We start from the raw sequence: 27,644 nt of genomic DNA, 5'->3' as shown, positions 1-27,644 counted from the left end.
TCATCTGGACCAGAGGGCTGCTTGCAGCCCATCTCAACAAAGACTCGCTGCTCCTCACTGCTCGGTGTCGTGCAGGTGTGCCACTGCGAGCCGGGCGGGCAGCCCAGCCCCATAGGTAGTGGGCAGAGAGTATGCATCGCCCACACACAGTACCTTCTCGTATGACACAGCAGCCCTGTGGTGGTGCCATTTCCATTTTTTTGGATGAAGAAACTGAGGCTCAGAGACACTAGGTCCTATGCCAGGGACATGTAGCTAGTAAGTGGCAAAGCCAGGTCAGTCAGCCTAATCCCCAAGCACTAAACTCACTCTGCGGTTCTGTCTCCTGAGACACCTGTCTCCCTCTCCCCGCTCCTCCTCCTTCTTCCCTCAGCCCCATCTCCAGGCTCTGCTGCCACTTCAGGCTTTTCCTTGTGGGTATCTCAGCCTCCTAGCCAGCCATGGTGGGACTCCCATGGGGTGGAAGAACCTGCGCCTTCCACCCACAAGGGTTTTATTTCTGCCTCTGCCACCTGCCTGTGCTGTGTCCCCTATATAAGCTACTGTCCCTCTCAGAGCCTTGCTTTCTCACCTGCAGAATGGGGAGGGCCTGTCTCCCACCTCCTGGGGCCATGGAAGGGACTGGAATGGTTCTCCCTTGAGCTGTTCTCTCACGTCCTGCCAAGTTCGCCAGACTCTGGGGCTCTCCACTTCCTCCCAGAGCTGCAGAGTGTTGGTCTCGGGGGAAGCCTGGTAGGTGCTGGGATCCTTGCCTCAGGGATGGACCAGTCACCTGTCCCCCCTCTCTCCTGGCTGACCCCACAGAAAAAAAAAATTAAAAAAAAATAAAAAATAAATACAAAGACACATATAGATTAAAAGTAAAGAGATGGAGAAAGATATAACAGGTTAACACTAATGAAAAGAATGTGAGAGTAGCGATATTCATTTCAGAGCAGACTTCTGAGCAAGGAAAATTATCAGGGATAAAGAGAGACATTACATAATGATAAATGGGTCAATTCTCCAAGAAGACATAGTTAAATCCTTAATGGGTATGTGCCTAACAACAGAGCAGCAAACTATGGAGGCAAAAACTGACAGACCTACAAGGAGAAATAGATGAATCCACTAGTATAGCTGAAGACTTCAGCATCCCTCTGAGAAATGGACAGATTCAGCAGGCAGAAAATCAGTAAGAACATAGTTGAACTCAACAACACCATCAATCAACTGGATATAATTGGTGTCTATAGAATACTTCATCCAGCAACAGCAGAAAACACATTCGTCTCAAGCTCCCACAGAACATTCACTAAGACAGGCTGCATTCTGGGCCATAAAGCACAGCTTAACCAATTTATAATAATAGAAACCATACAATGTCTGCTCTCAGACCACATTGGAATTAAATTAAGATAGCAGGGTAATCATTCTCCTTCAGTTCTCCTGTGCTATGTACATTAAAATAAAATGGTTATGCCTTTTCTTCTATTAATCTGCCTTTTGTGTCAGTTGATTACAGTGGACCTTCAGAGGATAAAGGGAAAGTTTTTCCTTGGCCCCTATAATAAGATGGGCCAGTATTAAGCTAATTTTCAATGCTGTAGCTAATCACATTATATTAAGGTTGAAATGCAGTGGAAAATTGAAATGTATCTTCCACATATCCCCTCTTGGAAGACCTTAGAGATGGTTTTCAATATTTTATCAGAGAACATGAGAAATAGCTTGCCAGACCCAGAACCCAGAAGCTTTATACATTAGCACTTGAAATCAAGCCAAATGGAATGTACATACTCTCGTGGGAGGTCTGGGTGTCTGGGAAAGATGAGTCTAGCAATACACTGACAGAGGACGAAAATAAAGCTTAAGAAGGAAGCAGTCCTTTAAAATTTTATTGTCATCGTTTTGCATTTAGACTTACCAATTAAAACATGCCATTTTTTACCCTTTAGTTCAGATGTATTTCTCTTCTTAGAGATAAAGACTCTAATAGATTATTCAGGTTGGGTGCAGTGGCTCATGCCTGTAATCCCAGAACTTTAGGAGGCCAAGGCAGGTGGATCACCTGAGGGTGGGAGTTCGAGGCCAGCCTGACCAACGTGGAGAAACTAAAAATACAAAGAATACCAAAAATACAAACTTAGCTGGGTGTGGTGGTGCATGCCTGTAATTCCAGCTACTCAGGAGGCTGAGGCAGGAGAATCGCTTGAACCTGGGAGGCGGAGGTTGCGGTGAGCTGAGATCGCACCTTTGCACTCCAGCCTGGGCAACAAGAGCGAAACTCCATCTCAAAAAAAACAAAAATAGATTATTCAAGTCTACGCATAGTTCAGATAACAAGCTGTCTTCCAATTTTTCTCAGAAGTATGCTTTTTTGTTGTTGTTGCAGAGGCAGTATCAGCACTTGCCAGCAATGTTGCAGAGGAGATGCCTGTGTTGAATAAGGTGTGGACTCAATGACCCCTTAAGGCCTCTTCTAATTGTTAAGATTTTTGGGATTCTGAAATTCTCCACAATTCTTAGAACTTGTGGTCCTTAGGCTGGGTTATTCCAAAATTTTTGTTTCTTAGATTATTTGCTATTAAAATTCTGTGAGTCTCAGGTTTTATAAGTGGCACTAAATATGATAAGGCATACAAAAATTACAACCTAAACATATGGCCCAAATTCCTGTTAGGAAAAGGAACTACTTTTGTTGAGGAAAATGCTTTGATAAGGGCTTTGAGTTAAGACCCCACCAAGAGCCTGGGATAGCTTATGCCTGGGCTCCTGAGGAGCAAATTGGGAGGGAGGGAGAGAAGTGAGCAGAAAGATGACAGGTCAGGGAGGAATAGCTCACATCTCATTGTACATCTGGGTAGCAATAAGCTGTGCTTCACAAGATGTGATACCTCTCCAGAACATTCTGGACCTCTGTGTAATCTGCTCTTGGGAATGCTTAAGGAGAGTGATTTTATTTTTTTATTTTTATTTTTTTAACTTTATTATTATTATACTTTAAATTTTAGGGTACATGTGCACAACGTGCAGGAGTGATTTTATTTTTATATGGAATCCAAGTTTCAGTTTCATCACATTCAGGTCAGTGTGGCTCAGGACAAAGCCAGCATGTTTTGCTGGAGGCAGAGATTATGGTACTAAGTGTAAGCCCCCTGGGACTTAGCCGACTTCTCTGGGAGAAATGTGGGCTTTCTCACGCAATGGTGCATGTCATGCTGCGTCTAAGGAACTCCATTCACATCGAAGTCTATGTGAATGGCCTTCTTTAGAGGTATATTAGGTACAACCTGAGCAACTGAATGTGACAGCCCTGGAACTCAGGCATTAGAGGACATTTCGCCTCAATCTGAAGGAATGGGGAGATCTCCCTTCTTCACCCTCCTAGCTAATATTCTGGTGCACGTTATATTTATATATATTTATAAACCTCTATGTCTAAGGTTCTAAGGTCCTAGGGTTCTATGATTCTACAGTTCTCTGACTCCAAGAACCTAAGAGTATAATCAGGTTCTATAATTCTATGGCAACAAGAACCACACAGCTAATGCTATTGTGCTTGCTATACCTTCTAGGCACTGTGCCAGGCACTTTGCGTGTATTATCTCAATTAATCCTTAAGCCCTATGACATACACACTATTATTCTCTCCATTTTGTAGATGTGGAAACTAAGGCACAGAGAGTTCTGTCATCCATCCAAGATTATGGTGCCAGGACTGAAGCAGCTAGTCTGACTTAGAGTCTCTTCCCCTCTGCATTCCACTGCTGACATTCCAATAAGCTCCCTCCCTAATTAATAAGCCTCCTTTCACTGGGAGCTGCCCTTTTCTCAGCTGAGGCCCCAGAAGTTAGAAACCAGACCTGAGCCCTTGTATCCTGTGTTGGGATGTGTGAAGCTGTCATGTCGCGTTGTGTTGTAATAGGCTGTGTTATGTTTCATGCGTTTGGCTCCACTGTATTATGAACTCTTCTATCACAAGGACTGAATCTGATTTGACCTTGTAAATCCAGCTTTCAGTCCAAGGACTGGTACACTTTGGGGGTTTAAAAAAATGTTTATCATATGAGCGACTAATTGCCCAAATGGGCTGTTGGGAGTGAGTTCTGGTGTCTATTAGACACCAGGTGTCTGGCAGTCCCAGAGCATCACTGCAGGGGAGGGAAGATTTCCCCTCTACCCTCTGAGGGTTCGGTAATTGACTCTATGAAATAAACTGACAGTAGAAGAAAGAGTTACAGAAGAAAAGGTACACAAATATACTACATGCATGGGGGCATCACATGAAAGAAAAGCAAATGTCCTAAACCTCAGTGAGAGCATATATACCTCTTAAAGGGGGTGAGCGGAGGGAGGGTTCAGGCAACTTAGGAGAGAGTAAATGATTTGGAGGAAAGATGAATGGGCCTTCAGAAGAATAGGTGATATGTGATAAAGTCTGTCTGGGGGTGGTGTTGACCCCCAGTCTCCTGTCCTGTGATCTGAGTTTACTCTTCTCTGGTTGATGAGGTTCCTGGGGAGGGGAGTTATAACCATTGAGTTCCTTTTGGAGGATTTATCTTGAAGCAGATAAGGGAAGTTCAGAGAAAGTCCCTCCCTGCATTTGCTGTTCCTCAAATGCTCTCAGTTTGAAGTCCAAAGTGACGTACCTTGGGGTGGCATTTCCTGAACTCTTTCATCATCCTGAGACTGCATTCTGACGAGGCTGGCAAGGTGGGCACACTTCCGAAGGCACTTGAGCAGGTGGAGCCAAACCAAAGTTCATCCTCACCAGGAGATTGGAGCCAGGAGCAGGACACCCTTGGGTCCCAGCTCAGGATCAGGTTGTAACTAAGTCAAGATGCGGAGCCTGGAGGGAGCCTCATCGGAGCGGGGCAGGTATGAGGAAGAAACTAGCCCCAGGTGCCTCCAGGTGTCCGTATCTCATTGTTACAGGGAGCCATAAGAGAGAAGTGGCCAGAGACGTAAAGGTGCCAGAGCCAGGTGTGCTTGGTGCTCTACCTTGTAGTCTCTTCTCCCTTCAGGACAAGGGCCCCACCTGACACCCAGCCTGGCTCTTGGGGGCTCTTCCCTAGGCTGGACTTTGCCCTGACTCCCAGGTATGAGCTGGAGTCCTGCTGTGGACCTTCCCAATCGCTAGACACAGATGCAGCTGCATCTGTTGACTTTGAGCCTGCTCAAGCCAGAAGCCCAGGAGTGCCTTCCTGACTCAGCCTCCCTTTGGTCCTGAGCCCTGCAAACACACAGCTGCCTTTAGTGTGGCCAGCTCCACAGCCCATCTGCCCCTCTCCCACCTCAGCTCTTACACTGAGAGGTGCTCACACTTGCTGAGCTACCTGCCCTGTCCTAGGCTAGGCATCAGCTTCTCCTACCTGGCCTGTCTGATCCTCTTTATTGAACACTCTGCCTGACCTCTGCCTCTTCCACCCATTCCCCAAAATCAACTTCCATAGCATTGTTCTAAGAGGCAGATCTGGCTGGGTGTGGTGGCTCACGCCTGTAATCCCAGCACTTTGGGAGGCCAAGGCGGGCGGTCAGGAGTTGGAGACCAGCCTGGCCAACATGGTGAAACCCCGTCTCTACTGAAGATACAAAAAATGAGCCAGGCGTGGTGGCGGGCACCTGTAATCCCAGCTACTCGGGAGGCAGGAGAATCGCTTGAACCGGGAGGTGGAGGTTGCAGTGAGCCGAGATTGCGCCATTGCACTCCAGCCTGGGCGACAGGGTGAGACTCCATCTCAAAAAAAAAAAAAAAAAAAAAAAAAAAGATGCAGATCTGACCATGTCCCTTCTCTCCCTAAAATCCTCCAATGGCTGCCCACTGCCTAAGGCAGAAAGTTCTAGTTCTTCAGCCCAGCTTCCCAGGCCCTTCATGGATGCCCCTGCTCATCTCCCTGCCTCCACTCCCTCTGCTCCCCTGAACCTGCCATGCTGTAGCCATCACAAACTTCGTGCCTTTGCATTTGCTATTCTCACTGCTTGGTATGCGCTGCATAAATTCCTACTCATTCTTCAAGAATCAGCCTTCCCTGGGTTACTCCTTGGTTTTATAACACCCTATGCACAACTCCACAGTGGCAATTATCATGTTATATTAGAGCTGTCTGATTGTGTTGGTGACCCCATCCAACTGGGAACACCACATGAGGCTGTATATTGCCTATGGCTTTATCCTGTGCCTGGCACATGGTACCTATGTGTTGAATGAGAAAGGAAGAAGTAAATGAATGGCAATGAGCGAGTGAAACAGTGCCATCGGTGATGGTGTGGGTGGGGTTGGTGTGGGCAAGGGATCCTGATGAAAGGAAACAACAGAACACAGCATGAAGACACAAGAGCCGACTCCAAGAGGGAGGTGAGGAAGCTGCCCCGGGAGCGTTCCCCCCATCTCTCTGTGGGAGTCCGTCCTGGACCGGAGCTGTGTGCTCTGAAATCCTCGGCATCCCTGTCATTTCCTTGTGTTTGTTGTTTCTGCTACCCCTGTGAGGAAATGATCCTTAACCCTGCCCCTGGGAAGAGTTGCTCAGACCTTACCCAATGTTGTTGTCTCCTGTGTAAGATGAGGTGGGAAGGCGGCTGCACAGCTCACTCCTACCCCATGCACCAGGACCCCCCTGGTAGGGGGCACCGAGGGCACGGCCTGGGAGTTTGGCCTGCAAGGCTAGAGCCAGGACAAGAGACCGGGCCTGTGAGAAGGGGGAACCAGGAAGCCACAGGGCCTGGAGGCTGGACCACTGAGCCCTGCAGCCACTGCTTGAGCCCCCAGGGTGGACTCCTGTCCCAGCTCTCTTGTGCTTAGCCACATGCCTGATGACACGCACTTCATGCTTAGCAGAGCCAAAACAGCAGGAATCACCCAAAGCTTTAGGTCAGGAGGTTGCGGGGAGAAACTACCTATTTTATTCACTTTCAGTACCCAACAGCATGCTCAGCACATCGTGGAGGGGCTCAAAAACTGTTGGGAAGAAGGAAGGAAGGAGGGAAGGCTGTCTGTCCTTGCTGGATCCAGAGGGCTATAGGGAAGAGGCACTTCCAGGGGTCAGCCCTGGTGGTAAACATCAGAGTGTGGGACTGCTTTGGAGAGGGGTGGAAGGCTGGGGGTCAGAGTCTCCTACACACACTTCCCACCTTCTCAAGCTCTCTCCCCATATATTGGAGGTCTGGGGTGGGCATCTCAATGGACCCTATTCCTGTTTAAAGATATCCCCCCACCCTCTTCCATGGCAAAGGTTCCCAATTCTGGGTGGGCATCAGAATTTCCTGAGAAGCTTTAAAAAGTGAAGATTCTTCAATCTAAATGCCCATCTGGGATGGAGTGGATAAAGAAAATGTGGCAAATATACACTATGGAATACTATGCAGCCATAAAAAGGAACAAGATAATGTCCTTTGTGGGGACATGGATGGAGTTGGAAGCCATTATCCTCAGCAAACTAATGCAGGAACAGAAAAGCAAACACTGCAGGTTCTCACTTATAAGCTGAATGATGAAAACACATGGACACATTGGGGAGGGGGAAACAACACACACTGGGGGCTGTTAGGGGTAGGATCGGGGGAGGGAAAGCATCAGGAAGAATAGCTAATGGATGCTGGGTTTAATACCTAGGTGATGGAATGATCAGTGCAGCAAATCATCATGGCACACGTTTACCTATGTAACAAACCTGCACATCCTGCACATGTAACCCTGAAGTTAAAATAAAAGTTGAAGGAAAAATGTAAAGATTTATGAGTCCCACTTGAGACCTACTGACTTAGAATACTGTTGGGCAGGACCATAAAACAGTATTTATTTTTAGTGCCCTGGGTGATTCTGCCATTTAGACGGGTAAGAACTCCTCACCAAAGCCGGGCACGGTGGCTCACGCCTGTAATCCCAGCACTTTGGGAGGCCGAGGCGGGCAGATCACGAGGTCAGGAGATCAAGACCAGCCTGACCAACGTGGTGAAACCCTGTCTCTAGTAAAAAATACAAAAATTAGCCGGGTGTGGTGGCGTGTGCCTGTAATCCCAGCTACTGAGGAGGCTGAGGCAGGAGAATCAGTTGAACCAGAGAGGCAGAGGTTGCAGTGAGCTGAGATTGCGCCATTGTTCTCCAGTCTGGGTGACAGAGCGAGACTCTGTCTCAAAAAAAAAAAAAAAATTAAAAGAACTCCTCACCTACCAGGTCAAGTTTAAACCCTCCAGCAAGGTATTCCCAGCCCTCTGCAATCTGGCCCCAGTGCTCCCGTGCAGCCTCACGCCCTTCACTCCAAGCACGCAGCTCATGAAACTGCTCCATGTTCCTTATCTTTGGTTGCTCTCTCACAACCAAAGATGATAGAAGTTCATCTTTCTGTCTTCCCCTCATCTACACAGGGAACTTCTACATGTCCTTTGAGCGAGGCTTTGCAGCAAATAAAAATATTTCACCCCAAAATATACTTCTTTGACATATTTTGAGATGGCTGTTCAGAGAGCCTGGGAACAGAAGTAGGCCTGCAAAGCTGTCTTTTGTAGGGGAGACCTGCATCTATAGGGACATCTGCATTGATGCAGGCAGGCTTCCTCTGCGGACCTTCCCTTGTCAGATCTAGGACAGACTAACTGATGAGAGTCTGGTACCTTCAAAGGTCTACTCTCTCTGACAGCTGCTATCTGTGAGCTTTCATCTACATAACAAGACCACCTTTGCTAGGGAGGCCTCCTCTTCTCCCCATCTCATAAACTGTTTTGCCAGGATCCAAGCCTCCCTTTCTTTCCTTCCTTCCTCCCTCCCTCCCTCATTTCTTTCTTTCTTTTTTTTTTTTTTTTTTTTTTTTTTTGCTCTTGTTGCCCAGGCTGGAGGGCAGCGGTGCGATCTCAGCTCGTGCAACCTCAGCATCCCTGGTTCAAGTGATTCTCCTGCCTCAGCCTCCCGAGTAGCTGGAATTACAGGTGCGCACCACAACACCCAGCTAATTTTTTGTATTTTTAGTAGAGACGGGGTTTCATGTTGGTCAGGGTGGTCTCAAACTCCTGACCTCAGGTGATCCACCCACCTTGGCCTCCCAAAGTGGTGGGAATACAGGCATGAGCCACTGCGCTCAGGCCCCAAGCCCCCATTCTTTCTGTAACCTCAAGATGGCATATAAGCTTCTGCACCCCATTGCAGAGTGGGGAGTAATCAATCACTCTGTGGTTCTCCCTGTGTGCGCATTAATAAATTTGCATGCCATTTCTGCTATTCATCTGCCTTTTGTCAGTTGACTTTTCAGTGAACCTTCAGAGGGCAAAGGGGAAGTTTTCCCTTGGCTTCCATACCTTCCACACCCTTCTTCCACCCAGCCAGACAGAAGTCTTTTCTCTTTCCTGTGTCTCTCCCAGCTCTTCCCTGTATCACAGCACCCGTCACTCTGCCCTGTTATTATTTAATGACGTCTGTGCCAGATAATTTGTACAACCTGCCTTGTTTAAGCCCCCCAAGAATCCCTGGAGGTAGATGATGATGAGGATGAGGATGATGATGATGATGATGATAGCAACAAAGACTCTGCAGGAAAAAAGCCTGCTCTAAGAATTCTACATGTGCTGCCAGACCCCTTCATCCTCACCACAGCCCTGTGAGGGGTAGCTTTCATTATTATCAAGTCCATCTTAGAGACAAGGACACTGATGCCCAGAGAGGTGAACTCATTCACCCTAGGTCACACTGGAAAGGGGTGGAGCCAGGATCTAACCCAGGCAGTGCTCCAGTTACCCACTGAGCTTCAGCCCTTTTATACATGAAGACCCTGAGGCCCAGGGAAATCATTTGTCCTAACTCACCATTCCCATAAGTGGCAGAGTCATAATTTGCATCCAGTAACCTCTGACCCCAGGGCTCCACACTCTCACATGGCCCCTGTTTAAACCTGCTGCAAAGTAATCTCCAGGTCAAGCTCCTATTCCTGGCCTGTTCTATGATGTTCCCTTCCTCTATCCCACAAACCCCCAGAGACTTGCCTTCCCATCTTCCCAACATGGCCTTCCCTCTGATCTCACTCCCTACCCATCCTGCCCCACCTCGAGTTCCCTGGAAGGAACACCCTGCCCTTACTGGGGTCACAGCTTCCCTGGCAGGCAGAGATCCAGCAACACTTGGGAGCTTTTCCCATTATTTCTCTATCCTGCATTCTGGACTAAGCAGGCAGAGGCAATGGAGGTGTTGGGGGAGCACCCTCTTCCCCTCCCTGGGCTTCTTTGTCAGTAAGGTGGAGAATGGCCCTGCCCTGGCTGCCTGCCAGGGCCAAGAAGATGTTCTGATGGGATAATGGGGCAAAAGCTTCACAAATGCTGGTGGTCCAGCCCTGAATGCCTCACTCCTGGGCCATGATAGGAGGGTGGGGTCCCAACCAGCTGGAGACCCAGCCCCACCATGCTGACAAGGTACCTACCCACCCTGCGCCCCAGCAGCCTCCTCTAAAGTAACTTCTGCATAGAATCACTATAAGAATCGACTGCAGCACAGACTGTACACATATAAAGGGCATCCCGACAGAGGAATAGCTCCATAAATAAAGGGTAGCAATTACGTGAAGGGTCCGGCCTCCTTCTGTAGAATCAGAGCTGTGAAATCAGGCACCTTTTCAGAGAACTCCAGTGGGAAACCAGCTCTCCACAGTGGGCCCCCAGTTCAGCCATCCCACCACTGAGAATAACTCTAGCTGTCCAGCTGGGCAACAGCAGGCTTTCAAAATTGCATGGTAATCTTGTAATCACAGATATCCTTTTTTTTTTTTTAAATAAGGTCTGGCTCTGTCACCCAAGCTGAAGTGCAGTGGCACAATCTCAGCTCACTGCAACCTCTGCCTCCTGGGCCAAGGGATCCTTCCGCTTCAGCCTCCAAAGTAGCTGGGACTACAAGCACACAACACCACACTCAGCTAATTTTTTTTTTTTTTTTTTTTTAGAGAGACAGAGTTTTACCATGTTGCCCAGGCTGGTCTTGAACTCATAGACTCAAGCAATCCACCCACTTTGGCCTCCCAAAGTGCTAAGATTACAGGCAAGAGCCGCCACGTCCAGCCCTGCAGATATTCTTTACCTCACAGAAGTTGTAGAGCTCTTAACCATCTGCTTTTCTCATCAATCCTTTACAAAGCCTACAGAAGGAGTTTGCGTGGTTCCGTGCTGGCCTGAGCTCATCTCCAGCTCTGTTTCTTACTTGCTGGGTGATCTTGGGCAAGTAATTTCCCTTCTCTGGGCCTCAGTTTGCTTCATCTGTGAAGTGGGTGGGATACTCTCAGCCTTTGAGGGTTCCTGTGAGAATCACAAGTATCAGGCACAGAGGAAGAAGATAATAGTCCTTAAATCACCATTACCCTCATTCTCTAGATGAAGAAATTGAGGTTTGGAAAAGCTCCCCTACTTGCTCCACAGCTAGGAAGAAGCAGGGTCGGCTCTGAGTCCAGGAGCTCTGCTTCCACACAAGAAGGATCCCCCAGTTTTAAAACTTCTGACACTATGAGGTATGGCTTTGGCTGCTCAAAAACAAAGACCAATCTCAGGGTCCTGTTTTAGATGTCCCTTGTTACAACTCTTATTAGTTACAGCCAGCTTGGCCCAGATGCAGCACCAGGTCCTCCAGACTGGGTCAGAGGGAACAAGGTGAAAGCCAACACGGGCGTGGAGGGTGAGGCCACGAGCCCTGTGTCTGCCGGAAGGCCCACAGACATGGGACAGGAAAGCCATGGGCTTGTCCCAGTCGACCGCACAGTGAGGACACAGTGACCTCATCCCCACAGCCATGAGCACTGTTGTCAGCACCATGCTCCAATTTTACAGCCTGAGTCAGCGGGCAGAGGGACACTGTGCATTTAATAGCCTGACATTGTGCAGAGAGACACTTTGCATTGCCCCGGCCTCGACCCTGCTGATTTATTCGGGCTACCTCAGAGTAAAAGACGAGAACTCTTCTTAAGCATCTGGCTCTGGGTAACTTACTTCTAATCTTCTCTCTTTTGAAGACAATGATAAAACACCATTTTTCGATTGACAAAGACTGAAAAGACAAACCACACCCAGTATTGACCAGAAGACTTCGAAAGAGCAGGTCTCTTTACAGCCGATAAAAGTGCAAAATGTACCATTTTTTCTGAAGGGAAATTTGGCAAAGCTTTAAAAATTCACCTGTCCTTTGGCCCTGTAATCCTTCTACTACAACGATATGTACTGAGTTCTTGGCACAAAGCTGTCCTTCATAGAGTTGTTTATAACTGCCTCCAAATGAAAACTGCCTAATTACTCATCAAGAGGAGATTGGTTCAATCAATGATGGTCTATCAGTCAGCCATTCAAAATCATGTTGGGGCTGCGCACCGTGGCTCACACCTGTAATCCCAGCACTTTGGGAGGCCAAGGCGGGCAGATCACCTGAGGTCCAGAGTTCGAGACTACCTTGACCAACATGCAGAAACCCCATCTCTATTAAAAATACAAAATTAGCCGGGTGTGGTGGCGCATGCCTGTAATCCCAGCTACTTGGGAGGCTGAGGCAGGAGAATCGCTGGAATCCAGAAGGCAGAGGTTTCGGTGAGCCAAGATCACACCATTGCACTCCAGCCTGGGCAACAACAGTGAAACTCAGTCTCAAAAAAAAAAAAAAAATCATGTTGGGGGCAGAGTGCAGTGGCTCACACCTGTAATCCTAGGACTTTGGGAGGCTGAGGAAGGTGGATCACTTCAGGCCAGGAGTTTGAGACCAGCCTGGGCAACACAGCAAGACTCCCATCTCTCAAAAAAAATTTTTTTAAATTAGTGTATTGGCACATGGCTGTGGTCCCAGGTACTAGGGAGGCTGAGGTGAAAGGATCACTTGAGCCCAGGAGTTGGAGACCAGCCTAGGCAATACAACGAGACTCTATCTCTTTAAAAAAAAAAAAAAAAAGATTAGCTAGGCATGGTAGTGCGCACCTGTAGTCCCAGCTACATGGGAGGCTGAGGCAGAAGGATTGTTTGAGCCCTGGAGTTCAAGGCTGCAGTGAGCTATGCTTATACTATGATTATGTCACTGCACTCCAGCCTGGGCGATAAAACCAGAGCCTGTCTTTAACAACAAGAAAAAAATCACATTGGGAAGAATATTTACTCACATAGGAATGTTCATGAGCAATCAAGAGACAAAGCAACTTAAATCCAGAATGATTTGCATTGATATAACTAGGCTTGATAAGCTTTTCCACATGAGGATTGTCCCCTTGGAACGCTCCCCATTGGAACCCAGCCACCACGCTATAAGGAAGTCCAAGCTATCCTTCAGGAGACAGAGGAGGATGCAACACCATATGGAGAGAATGGCCCAGCCATGTGTCCAGCTGAATGCTGCCGCATGAGTCACCCCAGCTGCCATCATGTGGGGCAGAACTGCCCAGTCAGTCCACAAAATCATGAGAAATAATAAGCTGTTGCTGTTTAAATCCACTAAGTTTTGAGATGGTTACTCTTTTTTTCTTTTTTCTTTCTTTTTTTTTTTTTTTTTTTTGAGATAGAGTCTCACTCTGTCACCCAGGCTGGAGTGCAGTGGCACGATCTTGGCTCACTGCAACTTCTACCTCCTGGGTTCAAACAATTCTTGTGCATCAGCCTCCCACATAGCTGCGATTACAGGTATGTGCCATCACACCCAGCTCATTTGTTTTTTTTTTTTTTTGTGGGGGTGAGTAGGGGCTCTGTCACCAGGCTGGAGTGCAGTGGCGCGATCTCGGCTCACTGCAACCTCCGCCTCCTGGGTTCAAGCGATTCTCCTGCCTCAGCCTCCCGAGTAGCCGGAATTACAGGTGCGCACCACAACACCCAGCTAAATTTTTGTATTTTTAGTAGGGACGGGGTTTTACCACATTGGCCAGGATGGTCTTGATCTCTTGACCTCGTGATATGCCCACCTTGGCCTCCCACAGTGCTGGGATTACAAGCGTAAGCCACTGAGCGGGGCCCCTTTTTGTATTTTTAGTAGAGACAGGGTTTCGCTATGTTGGCCAGGCTGGTCTTGAACTCCTGGCCTCAGGTGATCCACCCGCCTCGACCTCCCAAAGTGCTGGGATTACAAGCATGAGCCACCCCACCCGGCCTGACATGGATAATCTACAGCAATAGATAGCTGTGGCACCTTGTTTGCATTCCTAGATTTTCAGAATGCACACAGACCACAAGAGCAGAAGCACCTGTGTGGAGCATCAACTTAGTTGTGCACACCTGGAAGGCAGAGCTTTAAGTGACTCCAACTTACTGAGCCTCCACCACTGGCCAGTCATTGTGCAGCTTCCACAAATACCATCACGTACTAGGTACTTAATAAGTATTTATGGAATAAGTGAATAAATGTCTTAGTTAACACACACTGTATCCCTGGGAGGTAGGAACTGTTTTATTATTACTATTACTATATATTTTTTAAGATGCAGTTTTGCTCTTGTTGCCCAGGCTGGAGTGCAATGGCATAATCTCGGCTCACTGCACCCTCCACCTCCTGGGTTCAAGCAACTCGCCTGCCTCAGCCTCCCGAGTAGCTGGGATTACAGGCATGTGCCACCACGCCCGGCTAATTTTGTATTTTTAGTAGAGACGGGGTTTCTCCATATTGGTCAGGCTGGTCTCAAACTCCCGACCTCAGGTGATCCACCCACCTCAGCCTCCCAAAGTGCTGGGATTACAGGCGTGAGCCACTGCGCCTGGCCCAAAAACATTTTTAATGAATGCATGTGTGCCTGTGTGACAACATCAGGAGGAACACATGCTTCCTCCACCCCATCCTCACACAGAGTGGGGCTCTGCCAGCCTTGTTTGTGCTCTGTGACCGTATCACCTGACCATAACCAAATGGACTCAGGACAAACATCTCACCCAAATTGTTCCTACCAGCTCCTCTCATCTTAGAAAAGTCAGGGCCAGGAGACAGCTGAGTCAGCTTCTAAGGGTTGTTGAAATGGTCCCATGCAGACTCTGGTATTGCATCGTGGGCATTTTCTGCTGTGTGGGGCAGAACAGGCCTGTTTGTGTTGAAACAGAGAAATAACACAGATGAGAAAGGTAGAGCATCCTAGTGGCAGCCTACTCACTGAATCCAGATCTTCGTCAGCGTCTTGTTGCATCCCTGTGCCTGGTTTATGAGACATCTCTGTATCCTTTATCTTTTTTATTTTAAAATATATTTTAAAGATTTTTAAAAAATTATTTATTTATTTATTTATTTAGAGAAGGAGTCTCACTCTATTGCCCAAGCTGGAGTGCAGTGGTGCGATCTCAGCTCACGGCAAACCCTCCCTCCCGGCTTCAAGCGATTCTCCTGCCTCAGCCTCCCGAGTAGTTGGGATTACAGGCGCGCACCACTTCACCTGGCTAATTTTTGCATTTTTAGTAGAGATGGGGTTTTGCCACGTTGGCCAGGCTGGTCTTGAACTCCTGACCTCAGGTGATCTGCCCGCCTCGGCCTCTCAAAGTGCTGGGATTACAGGCATCAGCCACCATGCCCAGCCTATTTTTTTTTTTTTAACTTTTTTGTATTTTTAAAGACAGGGTATTGCTGTGTCACCCAGTTTGGAGTGTGATGGCACAATCACGGCTTAGTGTATTCTCGAATTTCTAGGCTCAAACCATCCTCCTGCCTCAGTCTCCTAAGTAGCTGGGACTGTAGGCACATGCCACCATGCCTGGCTAATTTTTAAATTTTTTTTGAGGTACAATGTCTGGCTATATTGTCCAGGCTGGTCTGGAACTCCTGGGATCAAGCAATCCTCCCACCTTGGCAAACCTAAAGTGCTAGGATTACAGGTGTGGGCCACTGCATCCAATCTCTATATCCTTTATTAAATTCTCCCTTTTTCCCATAATCCCAGCACTTTGGGAGGCTGGGGCAGGTGGATCACCTGAGGTCAGGAGTTTGGGACCAGCCCGGCCAACATGGTGAAACCCTATCTCTACTAAAAATACAAAAATTAGCCAGGCATGGTGGCAGGCACCTGTAATCCCAGCTACTCGGGAGGCTGAGGCAGGAGACTTACTTGAACCCGGGAGGCAGAGGTTGCAGTGAGCCAAGATCACACCATTGCACTCCAGCCTGGGCGACAAGAGCTGAAACTCCATCTCAAAAAAAAAAAAATCTCCCTTTTTGGTGACAGCTGGTTTAAATGCATTGATACTTGCAACCAAAATATCCTAACAATCATTACTTTAAGGAAATAGGGAAGATAGGACTCTCAGCCACAAGACCAGGCCTCCGGGAACCAGTTAAAAGAAACACGCAGGACAGACTACTGCCTGAGCAGGAACCAGTTAAAAGAAACACGCAGGACAGACTACTGCCTGAGCAGTCTCTGTAAGTAAAGACTACACCAGCCACTTTACAATACCAGGTGTACAGGCTGGAATGTAAGCTCCATGAGGGGAGGGCTCTATAGCCAAACAGTCAAAGCCCTCCTTGATGTGGCTTCTGCCTCCCAGCCTCAGCCCCAAATGTTGGGTTGGGCACTGGCCAGGTTGTAATGTGCCATTCTAAAGCCTCCCCAGCTGTCACACCTATAAATCTAAGCCAGGGTTCCAGCCCACCAGGAAGATGGTATAACAAGTTCTAGAAGTGGCATTGGGCTTTCCAAGTACCTTCATCCCCACTGTCTCCTGTGATCATCCCATCAGGGTCCACCAGCCCAACTTTAGGGACATGGGAATGAGGGAGGCAAAGGGGTTAAGCAACCTGCCTGAGGGGTAGGTGAATAGAACTGGGACTTAAATTCAAGTCTGAGCCAACCGCGCTACTGGGAGAAGGATTGAATAACACTTGATCTTTATTATCGTAGTTTTAAAGATGAGGAAACTTTAAATGAGATACCTAGAGTAGTCAAATTCACAGAGAAAGTAGAACGGAGGTTGCCAGGGATTAGGGGTAACAGGGAATGGGGAATTATTATTTAGTGGGTTCAGATGGATGATGGCAATGGTTGCACAACAGTGTGAATGCACTTAATGACACTGAACTGTAATCTTAAAATAGGTAAAATGGTAAAATTTATGTCATGTAGTTTAATTTTAAGTGAGGAAACTGAGGTCTAACAGGATAAAGGTGTAGAGCAGATTTTTTTTTTTCTGGGATGGAGTCTTGCTCTGTCACCCAGGCTGGAGTGCAGTGGCACGATCTCGGCTCACTGCAACCTCTGCCTCCCGGGTTCAAGCAATTCTCCTGCCTCAGCCTCCCGAGTAGCTGGGATTACAGGCGCCTGCCACTGCGCCTGGCTAATTTTTGTATTTTTAGTAGAGATGGGGTTTCACCATGTTGGCCAGGCTGGTCTCCAACTCCTGACCTTGTGATCCACCCGCCTTGGCCTCCCAAAGTGCTGGGATTACAGGCATGAGCCACCACGCCCGGCCTTAGACTAGATTTTATACAAAGTCTGGGGACAAACCAGGTTCAATTATTAGCTCGGCCACTTGCTGACCTACTCAACCCTGGGCAAATCACTCTGAAACTGTGCTTCAGTTTCCTCCTTTGAGAAACAGGATAAAAAACAGTAAATCTAGAATTCGTTATGAGAATTAAATGAGATATTAATAACTCCATACCAATCACTTACCTGGCACATAGTAAATTAGCAACACATACAACATTATTATGACAAGGTTTCTCAACCCAGAGCAAGAACAGCCTTTCAGACGCTTGAAGAGTCTTGGCGCTTATCTGTTGCAACCCCTTTGTTACAAAGCTGAAGAGACTGAGGGACAATGACTTGCCCGAAGTCACCCAGCCAACTTGTAACAGAGCCCAGAGTTGAACCAAACCACTCTTCTCTGAGTCCAGAGATCCCCAGCTCCAGCCAGCTCACACTGCTTTCCCTTTTTAAAGAAATGAACTGCGGTGGATTTGAGGCATGAATTTCAAGCCTCAATGTGGAAAGCAGGGGCTCCTGTGGCTCTCAACCGATTCTCTCTCCCTCTTGCAAAGCATGAGTCAGCTCCAGTATAATGTGTGAGTCAGCCAGCTCCTCCGTGATGAATGTGCATATGACTGCCAGGTGGCATCCAGGTGGGAGCTGGGCGGGGCAAGCGGGCACAGCTAGACACCGGCTGCTCTGTCTGGGCATAAGCTGTGTGCTTTCTTTCAGATCCAAATTGCTGCATGGTGGTATCTATAAGTCAGGAGGCCCAGGTTTTACACCTTCAATTTGCTTCCAAATTCCTTCTTCACTGTGATCTCAAGCAAGTGGCTTAATTTCTCTGTGCCTCAGTTTTCACAACTGTGGATACATGAATAATTCTAGTCTTGCCTGCAGCATAAGGTGTGGGGAGGACCCAAGGAATGACATGTGGGAAGGAGTTTTGCAGAGTTACAAAGTTATATCAAAGCCAGGTACAGTGGTGCTGGCCTGTTGTCCCAGCTACTTGGGAGGCTGAGGCAGGAGGATTGCTTGAGCTCAGGAGTTTGAGGCCAGCCTGGGCAACATAGCAAGACCCTACCTCTAAAAAGAAAAAAAAAAAAAGAAAGAAAAAGTTATATCGGCATGAAAGGCATTGTTTTTCCACTTCTCTGGAGAAATATGATTCTAAGAATAAAACAAAACTGTGCCAGGCTATTTGTTTTTCCCATCAGTCCTTGGGCTTCTCAGGATCCTTCTGGTCTCCTTGCTGTTCCCCCAGCCTCAGGGTGCCAGGTTACTTCCTCAGACTCAACACTTGTGGAGGGCTTACTGTGCACCAGGCCCAGGGCCAAGCCATTGAATCCTCCCCAGAGATCTCCAAGGTCAACATCATTCTGGGTCTTAAAAAAAAAAAAGAGGGCCGGGCGCGGTGGCTCACACCTGTAATCCCAGCACTTTGGGAGACCGAGGCGGGTGGATCACTTGAGGTCAGGAGTTCAAGACCAGCCTGGCCAAACATGGTAAAACCCTGTCTCTACTAAAAATACAAAAAAATTAGGTGGACGTGGTGGTGGGCGCCTGTAATCACAGCTACTCAGGAGGCTGAGGCAGGAGAATCGCTTGAACCCGGGAGACAGAGGTTTTAGTGAGCCGAGATTGTGCCAGTGCACTCCAGCCTGGGCAAAAAGAGTGAGACTCCGTCTCAAAAAAAAAAAAAAGATTATTATGGGCCTTATTTTACAGAGAGAAAACTGAGGCTCACTGGTAATAAGGAACTCGCCAATCACAAGGTGGAGCTGGGCCATGAAGCCAGACTTTTGGAACGTTCCAGAGTTCTGCCCACCCCACGGGGAAGAAAAGCTCCTCGGGGAGGCATCATCAGGTCCTCTTCTTCCAACCTCACAGACCTCCAGAAAACAATACGTGGAAATTGAGAGGGGAAGACCCCTGCAACCCTGAAGAAAATCAGGCTTTGAGAATGTAAAAAAATGGAAATAATAATAGTTACCACGTTTCAAGTATTTACTGTAGGATAGTCACCTGATACACGTTTCCTTACTTCATATTCACAATAATTCTTAGAGGTGAGTACTGCTATTATCCCCATCTTACAGTTGGGGAAACTGAGATTCAGGTGAGGTAACATGCCCAAAGACACATAGCTAGCAGGTCTGTTTCCAAAACCTGTGGTCCACCCACCAAATACCACTGTCAGCCTCCTCCTTCATTCATTCTTTGATTAATTCATTTATTAAACATTTATAGCTTCTTTCTTGTGCCAAATAACTTGCTGGACAGAGGCAAGACAGGAATACCTGAGCCCCAGCCCTAGAGGAGGTCATTATCTCAGAGGAAGATAAGGCTCAAATAATTGTAATCTAAGCGATAAGAGCCAGGCAAAGCAAACTGCTTGTACTGTTGCTGGATCAGAGCAGGCAGTGCCAGTTGGAGTTTTTGTTGTTTTTATTGCTTTCTTTAAAGGCAGAGAATCTGGCAGCATTTGATTTAAAACAAGTTTCTCTAGAGTCAAGTCATCCATTTATTATTATTTTTTATTTTTATTAAAAAAAAATTTTTTTTGAGACGGAGTCTTGCTCTGTTGCCCAGGCTGGAGTACAGTGGTGCAATCTCAACTCACTGCAACCTCCGTCTCCTGGGTTCAATAGGTTGTTCTGCCTCAGCCTCCCAAGTAGCTGGGATTACAGGTGCACACCACCACGCCTGGCTAATTTTTGTATTTTTAGGAAAGATGGGGTTTCATCATGTTGGTCAGGCTGGTCTCGAATGCCTGACCTCATGATCCCCCTGCCTTGGCCTCCCAAAGTGCTGGGATTACAGGTGTGAGCCACTGCGCCTGGCCTATTTATTTATTTTTAGAGATGGGGTCTCACCATGTTGCCCAGGCTGGACTTGAACTTTTGAGCTCAAGCAATCCTCCTGCCTCAGCCTCTTTAGTAGCTGGGACTATAGGCACGCACCACCACACCTGACTCCATTTATTTTTTCAATCCAGGTGCTGGAACTCACACTACCTGTGTGATTTTGGGCAAATTACTTCCCTGAGCCTCAGTTTTCTCCTTTAGAAAACAGAGAGAAAAAGGCCAGGCGCAGTGGCTCACGCCTATAATCCCAGCACTTTGGAAGGCCAAGGCGGGCGGATCACGAGGTCAAGAGATCGAGACCACCCTGGCCAACATCATGAAACCCCGTTTCTACTAAAAATACAAAAATTAGCTGGGCGTGGTGGTGCGCACCTGTAATCCCAGCTACTTGGGAGGCTGGGGCAGAAGAATCTATTGAACCCGGAAGTCGGAGGTTACAGCGAGCCGAGATTGCGCCACTGCACTCCAGCCTGGCAACAGTGAGACTCCATCTCAAAAAAAGAAAAAAAAAAGAAAATAGAGAAATACTTATTTCATAGAGTTGCTGTTGGAATTAAATTAACTGAAATGTTGTATTCCTTCATTCAACAAAAATGTAGGAGACCCAGTGTGAGGCAGGTGCTGTTTTTGGTGCTGGGGACACTGGAAGAAGCAGATGGAGACACTCCCTTGGAATTACAGAAATATTTTAAGTAAAAAAAAAAAAAAAAAAAAATTCAATTTGGTTAATTGAAGCAAAATATGCATTCAGAAGAGTACGAAAATCAGAAATGTACACACCTCAATGCATTTTCACAAACTAAACACACCCGCAACCAGCACCCTGATGAGGAAACAACATTACCAACACGGTCAGAAACAGGGTGTCACAAGAAAGGCACTCACCTCCCCTGTAAAATTTAAGCAGGGGTGGAGGGGGGTAGAGGGGGGCGGCGGACTCTGTCATCAGGATAAATAATATTTTTAATGCAGTATTTTTGAAAAACCAGAATTAATGCAAAAAATCCATGATGACAAAATATCAAAATTTTAAATAAAAACAGGATTAGTAACATGCTGTGCTGAGTCATATTAAAGCTCGAGGCAAAAGGAAAAAACATCAGTACTGCTGATCTGGTCTCCACCTGCCTCACCCTGATTACCAGCACCCGCCCCCAGAGTCGCGACCCTCCCTTCCAAGGGTAACTACTGTTACCCCGGAGATAAGTTTTGCCTGTTTTTAAACTTTATACACATGACATCACACTCTTTCGCACAGCTGCTATCACTCAATATGTCTGTGAGATTCAGCCACATTATTGCGTGCCATGGAAAGATGTTTGAACAAAGCAGTGATGTGGTCAGCTGTGCATTTTAAAGAGACCAGTGTGGTGGCAGGGAGGAGGATGAATGAATAGTGGTCCTAGCCTATGCTGGAGGAGGGACTGTCTGCATGGAGAGGGCAGGCAGAGTCCACGGGATGGGCAGGCAAAGTCCACGGGATTGACTGGATATGGGGAATGAGGGAGACAGAGAGGGGTCAGGGAAGATACCAGATCTCTGGCTAGGGCAATTTGGTGGCTAGAGGAGCCATTTCTAGGGTGGGGACAGGAAGGGATGGGCAAAGATAATGAGTTCAGGTTTGAGCATGGTGAGTGTGAGGGACCTGTGGGACATCCAGAGGGACATCCTGGAGGCAGCTGGACAGAAAAGCCTGGTAGTCAGGAGAGAAGGGAGGGGAGTATGTGCCTTCAATTCCCCCAGCATCAGCGAGCAGGTGGTAGCCCTGATAAGTGCATTTGCAGAGGGTCGGAGGGCATACAGAAGATAAAGAAGGGATGCCGAAAAGCTTTCTGAAAGCAGGTGGTTCAAGCAGATGTGCAAATCAGAATGAAAACATTAAACACACAAAACTGTCCTGCCTGGCCCATCAGACCTTCCTGGAATCCATCACTGTGTTTACCTGCAATCCAGGAGGATTTGAATTGCAAAACACCCTTTGGATTAGGGGGGCTTCCGTCCCAGCCCCTGCTATCCCCTCTTGTACCAATTGTAGCTGACTCAGCAAAACCTTTCCTCCTGGCTGCCAGGGACGCTTGCCTTTAAAGGCAACAGAGTCTTTTCCCAGCCCGCCTTACTCACTCCTAACTCTGGAGCTGCTAGGACCCGCCCTGCACGGCCCTGCCACCACCACCATCACCACCACCACCCCTCCCCCACCCACTTGCGTGCTCTGAGGCACACACTAGGCTCCAGCATCCGCCTGGCACCTGACACCTCCCTGCTAGCCAGTCCCAGAGAGCTCTTTTCCTCCAGACTAGCTGGGGCTGGAACTGCTTAGAATCGGACCCAGAAGAGGCCGAGTTCCGTCCAGGACTAAAGGCAGCCTCCAGGGAATAAAGCTGTCAGTGTGGGCGCAGACTAGGGAAGGGGCACTAGGTCGTTCAAGCTGAATGCTGGGGTTCCACAGCCTCCTCACACCCCCTTTAGTGCCTCAGGTAGAGTAGGCTTGTGGGGACACTGAGGTTTCCTCAGGTCCTTTCCCTGCTCAATAACTCTCCATGGCTCGCCACTACCCACTGCATAAAGCCCTAACTCCTATACCTGGCATTTGGGAGCCTCTGTGATTCCACTTCTTCAGTCTCTTCTCCTCCCTAAGCCCCCATGCCCCAGCCACAGGGGCTACTTAGGTGCCCCTCCTGCTCCCCTTTCCCCTTGCACCCAAACCTTCTCTGCTCATGTGCTATTTCCTGGGGCCTTCTCTAGGGCTCATTCCCTAGTTGGAGTTAAATTCTGCTTCCAAGGAATCAGCCACCCAAATAACAAACCAGTCCACCTGAGAATCTAGTCTGTGATGCAGCGTCAATAGCTTCTGATGAATTTGCTTCTGACCAGTAGCCTCCAGGGGTCATAAAACATTCACAGAGAGGAACACAGAGAAGGTAATGGGGGTCTGTGTGTGGGCAGGTGGGGTGGGGTGGGTGAAGGAAAAGCTTTTTTTTGGCCACTGTGCTTTTTCCTCAAGCACCGCCCTACCATGGGATGGGGATTTGACTGAACTTCTCACGTCAAGAATGAGTACAGTTTACATAGCTAAGCCTTTATAAACATCCACTTTCCCTCAGGCCTACCCAGGAAGGGTTTGTTATATCTATTTTACAGATGTGGGTCTTCAGGCTCAGAGAAGAGAAGGCATTGTTTGCCCATGAATGTTTGCAAGTAAATAGCAGAGCTGGGACTCAAAGAGTCCGGATCTGGGGCTCCATCATGAATCTCTAAGAGTGGCCCAGAGATTCTCACGTTCCCTAGGTAATCATTCTGGCAGTCTGCTGCCTTTGCACATGCTCTTCTCTCTGCTGAGAATGGCCTTCCCTCAATCCATCTGGTGAACTCCTATTCAGTCTTCCAAACCCTGCTTAGCATGACCTCCCCCTTCCCAGATGCTCTCTCTACTCACTCTCCTTCCCCTGTGGTACAAGTTCTGCACCTGTACAGATTCTTAACCCTCTACGCTTGACTTGGTATTGTTGCTGCTCATTTCCCCTCTTGCTCCTCCTCCAGCTTGGGGCCTCCATGAGGCTAACAATGGGGTCACATGTCTCTGTCCCTGGGAAAGTGGCCAGCATGGGGCTGGCCCAGAGAAGGACAAGGTGGCTGTTTGGTGAGTGTGACCCATGGGCTGAGTAAGGCAGACCCGCAACTGGGAAAAGGCATAGACTGGATGTGCTAAGAAACAAGGAGCTGTGGAGAGACTTTGAGGAGGGAAGTAGCAAAACCCAAAAGGTACTTAAGGAAAGACTGGAAGTATCAGCAGGACGGACTGGAGGGGAAGGAACATTCAACACAGGTAGATTAGCTGCTCACTCATTCGTGCATTCCTTCCCTCCTTCAGTCATTCACCCACGTGCCTCAGCTGCAGAACCTGTCCTCAAGGTGCTCACAGGCTGAGGGAAGGCAGACAGAGGACAAGTGGCAACCTACAAAACACCAAATGGTAAAGGAGAGAAAGATTTCCACTTGGGAGAACCAGGGACACTTCCCGGAGGAGGAAGGACCCATGGTGCTTTTTGGCATGGTGAGGTCGGGGAGGGCTTCCCAGGCAGAGGAGACAAGCTGAGCAAATGTGTGGATGTGAGTTGCTGGTGTGAGGGGCGAGGCTGAGCGTGTAAACTGGTGCCATGAAGAAGGACCGTGATGGCCAGGCTTGGCCCTTACTCCCTCCATGACAATTTCAGACAGATGAGCAGGAGAGTGGCAGGGTGCAGGACTGGAGGACAAAAGACCAGAGGAGATGGAGGCCCTGCAGACAGCAGGGGAGGGAAGGAGGATGAGGTGGTGTAGACAGCGGAGTCAGCAGGACTTGGTCTGTCCAGGGGTGAGGAGAGAGGTGGCCCAAGCTTTCCAGGCTGAGCATAGAGAGACCACAGGAATTGAAGCCTTGGGCAGGGGGGTGCCCAGAATGCACCTGCCTTCTGTTTCAGGGCTCCATACTCAACCAAGGTGCCCCTCAGCCAGAACTGGACACATTGCCAGAGAACTCCAGGGGTCATCTGGTCGGCTCAGCCTCCCGGTTTCCGACAGACAGTAAGCCCACCATGACTCCCTCCATCGGGAAAGGGACCCTCAAGACTTTGATCAGACCTTTGGACTGGGGGTCCTTCCCTTCACTGTGTCTCAAGTAAGGCACTGGTCTAGAGGAAATAAGGTGAAGTCAGATGATAGCAATACCACTACCAGTGCAGTGGCACATGCCTGCACTCCCAGCTACTACGGAGGCTAAGGTGGGAGGATCACTTGAGCCCAGGAGTTTGAGACCAGCATTTATTTATTTACTAACAGACTAAATAAATAAACCAACAATACCACCAACCAGTAAATGAGAACTTCCATGCTAAACACTTCATGAGCTTATCTGGAAATTGCACCTCTCCTGATAGCAATGAGATTGGTGTGGGAATTCCATTTACTCATAAGAAGACAGCCTCGGCCGGGCTCAGTGGCTCACGCCTGTAATCCCAGTACTTTGGGAGGCGAGGTGGGTGGATCACGAGGTCAAGAGTTCAAGACCAGCCTGGCCAAAATGGTGAAACCCCGTCTCTACTAAAAATAAAAATAATTAGCCAGGGGTGATAGCGGGCGCCTGTAATCCCAGCTACTCGGGAGGCTGAGGCAGAGAACTGCTTGAATCCGGGAGGCGGAGGTTACAGTGAGCCGAGATCGTGCCGCTGCACTCCAGCCTGGGCGACAGAGCGAGACTCTGTCTGAGAAAAAAAAAAATTAAAGAAAAAAACGAAAACAGCCTCACTGGCCAGGAACTCGCCCAGGATCGCGGCCGGGCCAGTATACAGTTGAGCTGGTTCAAACCCGAGGTCTATCATGTCCTTAATGTCCTATCATGTCAGTCAGTTAGCCTGCCTTTCATATTTTCCACACTTACAGGTCACCATAGACTCACCTGAACTGTGAGAAGTAGAGGAAGGCGTCCCAGAGGAGGTGATTTTAAAGCCCAGGTTTGAGATGGGTATGCATTTCCAGGCAAGAGAGCCCGGCCGGTGCAAAAGCAAGGCTTGGCTCACAAACGGGAATGTGGGGGGTGGAGACAGGGAAGGGAGAAGTCAATCCCTGGGCAAGACCTCCTGGAGTCTCTCTAACAAATAAATACTACTTTCCATGCAGTAGACGCTGTTCTAAACACTTTACAAATATTAACTCACTTGGTCTTTCTACAACCCTACGAGGTGGTACTGTTACTATCCCTAGTGCACCGAAGTCACCCAGCGGCCGAGTGAGAACTCCAGTCCAGCTTTCCACCCGCTACTCCGCGCATCCCAGCTTGCCTTACAGCCGGGTACCGGCTCCACCATTTTGCTAGAGAAGGCCGCGGAGGCTCAGAGAGGTGCGCACACTTGCCCTGAGTCACACAGCGAATGCCCTCCGCGGTCCCAACGCAGAGAGAACGAGCCGATCGGCAGCCTGAGCGAGGCAGTGGTTAGGGGGGGCCCCGGCCCCGGCCACTCCCCTCACCCCCTCCCCGCAGAGCGCCGCCCAGGACAGGCTGGGCCCCAGGCCCCGCCCCGAGGTCCTGCCCACACACCCCTGACACACCGGCGTCGCCAGCCAATGGCCGGGGTCCTATAAACGCTACGGTCCGCGCGCTCTCTGGCAAGAGGCAAGAGGTAGCAACAGCGAGCGTGCCGGTCGCTAGTCGCGGGTCCCCGAGTGAGCACGCCAGGGAGCAGGAGACCAAACGACGGGGGTCGGAGTCAGAGTCGCAGTGGGAGTCCCCGGACCGGAGCACGAGCCTGAGCGGGAGAGCGCCGCTCGCACGCCCGTCGCCACCCGCGTACCCGGCGCAGCCAGAGCCACCAGCGCAGCGCTGCCATGGAGCCCAGCAGCAAGGTGAGTCGCGCGCCCGCGGGCCCTCCCGCCAGGAACAAAGGCGCAGACTCCTGCCCGCCTTACGCCGGCCAGGGCCTCCCCCGCCGCCCCGCTGCGCTGTGCGCCCGGGGCGGGCCGCGCGCCTCTCCGAGCCTGGCTCGGTGCGGGTCCCGAGCGCAGCGCCCCGCCGGGCCGCTGGCCGCAGTGGGGATGGGCTTCGGATCTAGCGGGCCGGAGGGCGCCGCGTGCGTAGTTGGCGCCGGCACTGAGCACATGGCCTCCTTCCGGGGGCGCCGCGCCGTCCACGCGGCCCTGCTGGGGCTGGGGACACAGGGCCCGGGAGCGGCACGTCGCACACGACCTCGGCAGCAGCAGCCCAGCCTCGGCCCCTCCCGGTGCGGGGGAGGGGGCCCGAGCGCGGCGCCCATTGGCTGAGCGGGCCGAGCCCCCGGCCCGGCCCCGGCCCCGGCGCGCGGAGGAGTCAGGAGCCGCCCCCGCTCTCCGTCTGCTCCCCTAGCCCGGACGCCCCTGTAGGTGGGCGGCCTGGTGCGAGGTGTCCCACCGGCCTCCCCTACTCCTCCCGCCAGTCCCCCGCGGTGACGAGGCCGAGGCCGAGGGGAGGGCACTTTTCTCCAGGCCCGGGCTCGAACGCGGGGGTTGAGATGAACCTCCGGTCTCGGAGGCTCTCCTTTGCGAGGAGTGCAGGCCCCAAAGCTTTGGCCCAGTCTCGCGGAGATGTGTTCCGCGGAGGCAGGTTTACCCTCGGGGCCAGGCGGGGAGCGCAACCGGAGGGGCGGGGGATCTGGGGGCCAGGAAAGAGCCCCAGGCTGAAGTCTAGCGGGAAGCGCGCACGCCACGGGGTTGGGGAATGAGGGATGGGGACTCTGGGGACCAACAACTCCCTAGATAGGATTTCTTTTTTTCTGTGTAAGTGGGCTTGTCCTGCAGGGCATCTTTGTAGCGTCCGCAGAGCGATTTCTTTTCAACAAATTGTTTGTGGAGCCCCTCCTGTGTGTAGGGCATTGTTTCTTTCCACCTCCTTTCCTCCCCCTAGTCTACAATATTTTCAAGTCCCCTTTTT

At 49.6% G+C, this 27,644-nt stretch overlaps 1 protein-coding gene and 1 long non-coding RNA gene across 2 annotated transcripts in view, besides 9 other annotated features; one reads left to right on the top strand and one right to left on the bottom strand.

Moving 5' to 3' along the window:
* Positions 1-1,859: 1,859 nt before the first annotated feature.
* Positions 1,860-26,169, bottom strand: SLC2A1-DT (SLC2A1 divergent transcript). Its single transcript, NR_033967.1, has 4 exons — positions 25,641-26,169; positions 14,824-14,969; positions 11,030-11,244; positions 1,860-2,093 (listed from the first exon to the last, which is right to left on the bottom strand). It is a non-coding gene; the product is annotated as an SLC2A1 divergent transcript (long non-coding RNA).
* Positions 11,136-11,636: an enhancer, noted in NCBI's record as "H3K4me1 hESC enhancer chr1:43439253-43439753 (GRCh37/hg19 assembly coordinates)". NCBI's record gives its function as "activates a minimal SCP1, AML or CMV promoter by ChIP-STARR-seq in naive H9 embryonic stem cells {active_cell/tissue: H9 hESC(naive)}" and the evidence as "EXISTENCE:reporter gene assay evidence [ECO:0000049][PMID:30033119]".
* Positions 11,637-12,137: an enhancer, noted in NCBI's record as "H3K4me1 hESC enhancer chr1:43438752-43439252 (GRCh37/hg19 assembly coordinates)". NCBI's record gives its function as "activates a minimal SCP1, AML or CMV promoter by ChIP-STARR-seq in naive H9 embryonic stem cells {active_cell/tissue: H9 hESC(naive)}" and the evidence as "EXISTENCE:reporter gene assay evidence [ECO:0000049][PMID:30033119]".
* Positions 13,251-13,750: an enhancer, noted in NCBI's record as "H3K4me1 hESC enhancer chr1:43437139-43437638 (GRCh37/hg19 assembly coordinates)". NCBI's record gives its function as "activates a minimal SCP1, AML or CMV promoter by ChIP-STARR-seq in naive H9 embryonic stem cells {active_cell/tissue: H9 hESC(naive)}" and the evidence as "EXISTENCE:reporter gene assay evidence [ECO:0000049][PMID:30033119]".
* Positions 13,751-14,252: an enhancer, noted in NCBI's record as "H3K4me1 hESC enhancer chr1:43436637-43437138 (GRCh37/hg19 assembly coordinates)". NCBI's record gives its function as "activates a minimal SCP1, AML or CMV promoter by ChIP-STARR-seq in primed H9 embryonic stem cells {active_cell/tissue: H9 hESC(primed)}" and the evidence as "EXISTENCE:reporter gene assay evidence [ECO:0000049][PMID:30033119]".
* Positions 22,246-22,540: a silencer, noted in NCBI's record as "tiled region #619; HepG2 Repressive DNase unmatched - State 5:Enh". NCBI's record gives its function as "represses a minimal TATA promoter and a strong SV40 promoter by Sharpr-MPRA in HepG2 cells {active_cell/tissue: HepG2}" and the evidence as "EXISTENCE:reporter gene assay evidence [ECO:0000049][PMID:27701403]".
* Positions 25,994-26,177: a silencer, noted in NCBI's record as "fragment chr1:43424712-43424895 (GRCh37/hg19 assembly coordinates)". NCBI's record gives its function as "represses an EF-1alpha promoter that drives an FKBP-Casp9 reporter gene in an ReSE screen in phorbol 12-myristate 13-acetate-treated (for megakaryocytic differentiation) K562 erythroleukemia cells {active_cell/tissue: K562(+PMA)}" and the evidence as "EXISTENCE:reporter gene assay evidence [ECO:0000049][PMID:32094911]".
* Positions 25,994-26,459: a biological region, named in NCBI's record as "ReSE screen-validated silencer GRCh37_chr1:43424712-43424895".
* Positions 26,050-26,459: a silencer, noted in NCBI's record as "silent region_773". NCBI's record gives its function as "represses an Ori minimal core promoter by ATAC-STARR-seq in GM12878 lymphoblastoid cells {active_cell/tissue: GM12878}" and the evidence as "EXISTENCE:reporter gene assay evidence [ECO:0000049][PMID:35858748]".
* Positions 26,350-27,644, top strand: part of SLC2A1 (solute carrier family 2 member 1) — a 33,516-nt gene continuing 32,221 nt past the window's right edge. Inside the window, exon 1 of the mRNA NM_006516.4 lies at positions 26,350-26,584. Within this exon, the coding sequence (NP_006507.2) occupies positions 26,567-26,584 (18 nt within the window). The 5' untranslated portion in view covers positions 26,350-26,566. The remainder of the gene's footprint in view (positions 26,585-27,644) is intronic.
* Positions 26,590-27,229: a silencer, noted in NCBI's record as "silent region_772". NCBI's record gives its function as "represses an Ori minimal core promoter by ATAC-STARR-seq in GM12878 lymphoblastoid cells {active_cell/tissue: GM12878}" and the evidence as "EXISTENCE:reporter gene assay evidence [ECO:0000049][PMID:35858748]".

Source organism: Homo sapiens, chromosome 1 (genome assembly GCF_000001405.40).
Source record: "Homo sapiens chromosome 1, GRCh38.p14 Primary Assembly".
NCBI lineage: Eukaryota > Metazoa > Chordata > Mammalia > Primates > Hominidae > Homo > Homo sapiens.
The sequence above is the reverse complement of the archived record's forward strand: the minus strand, read 5'-3'. Positions and strand labels throughout refer to the sequence as shown.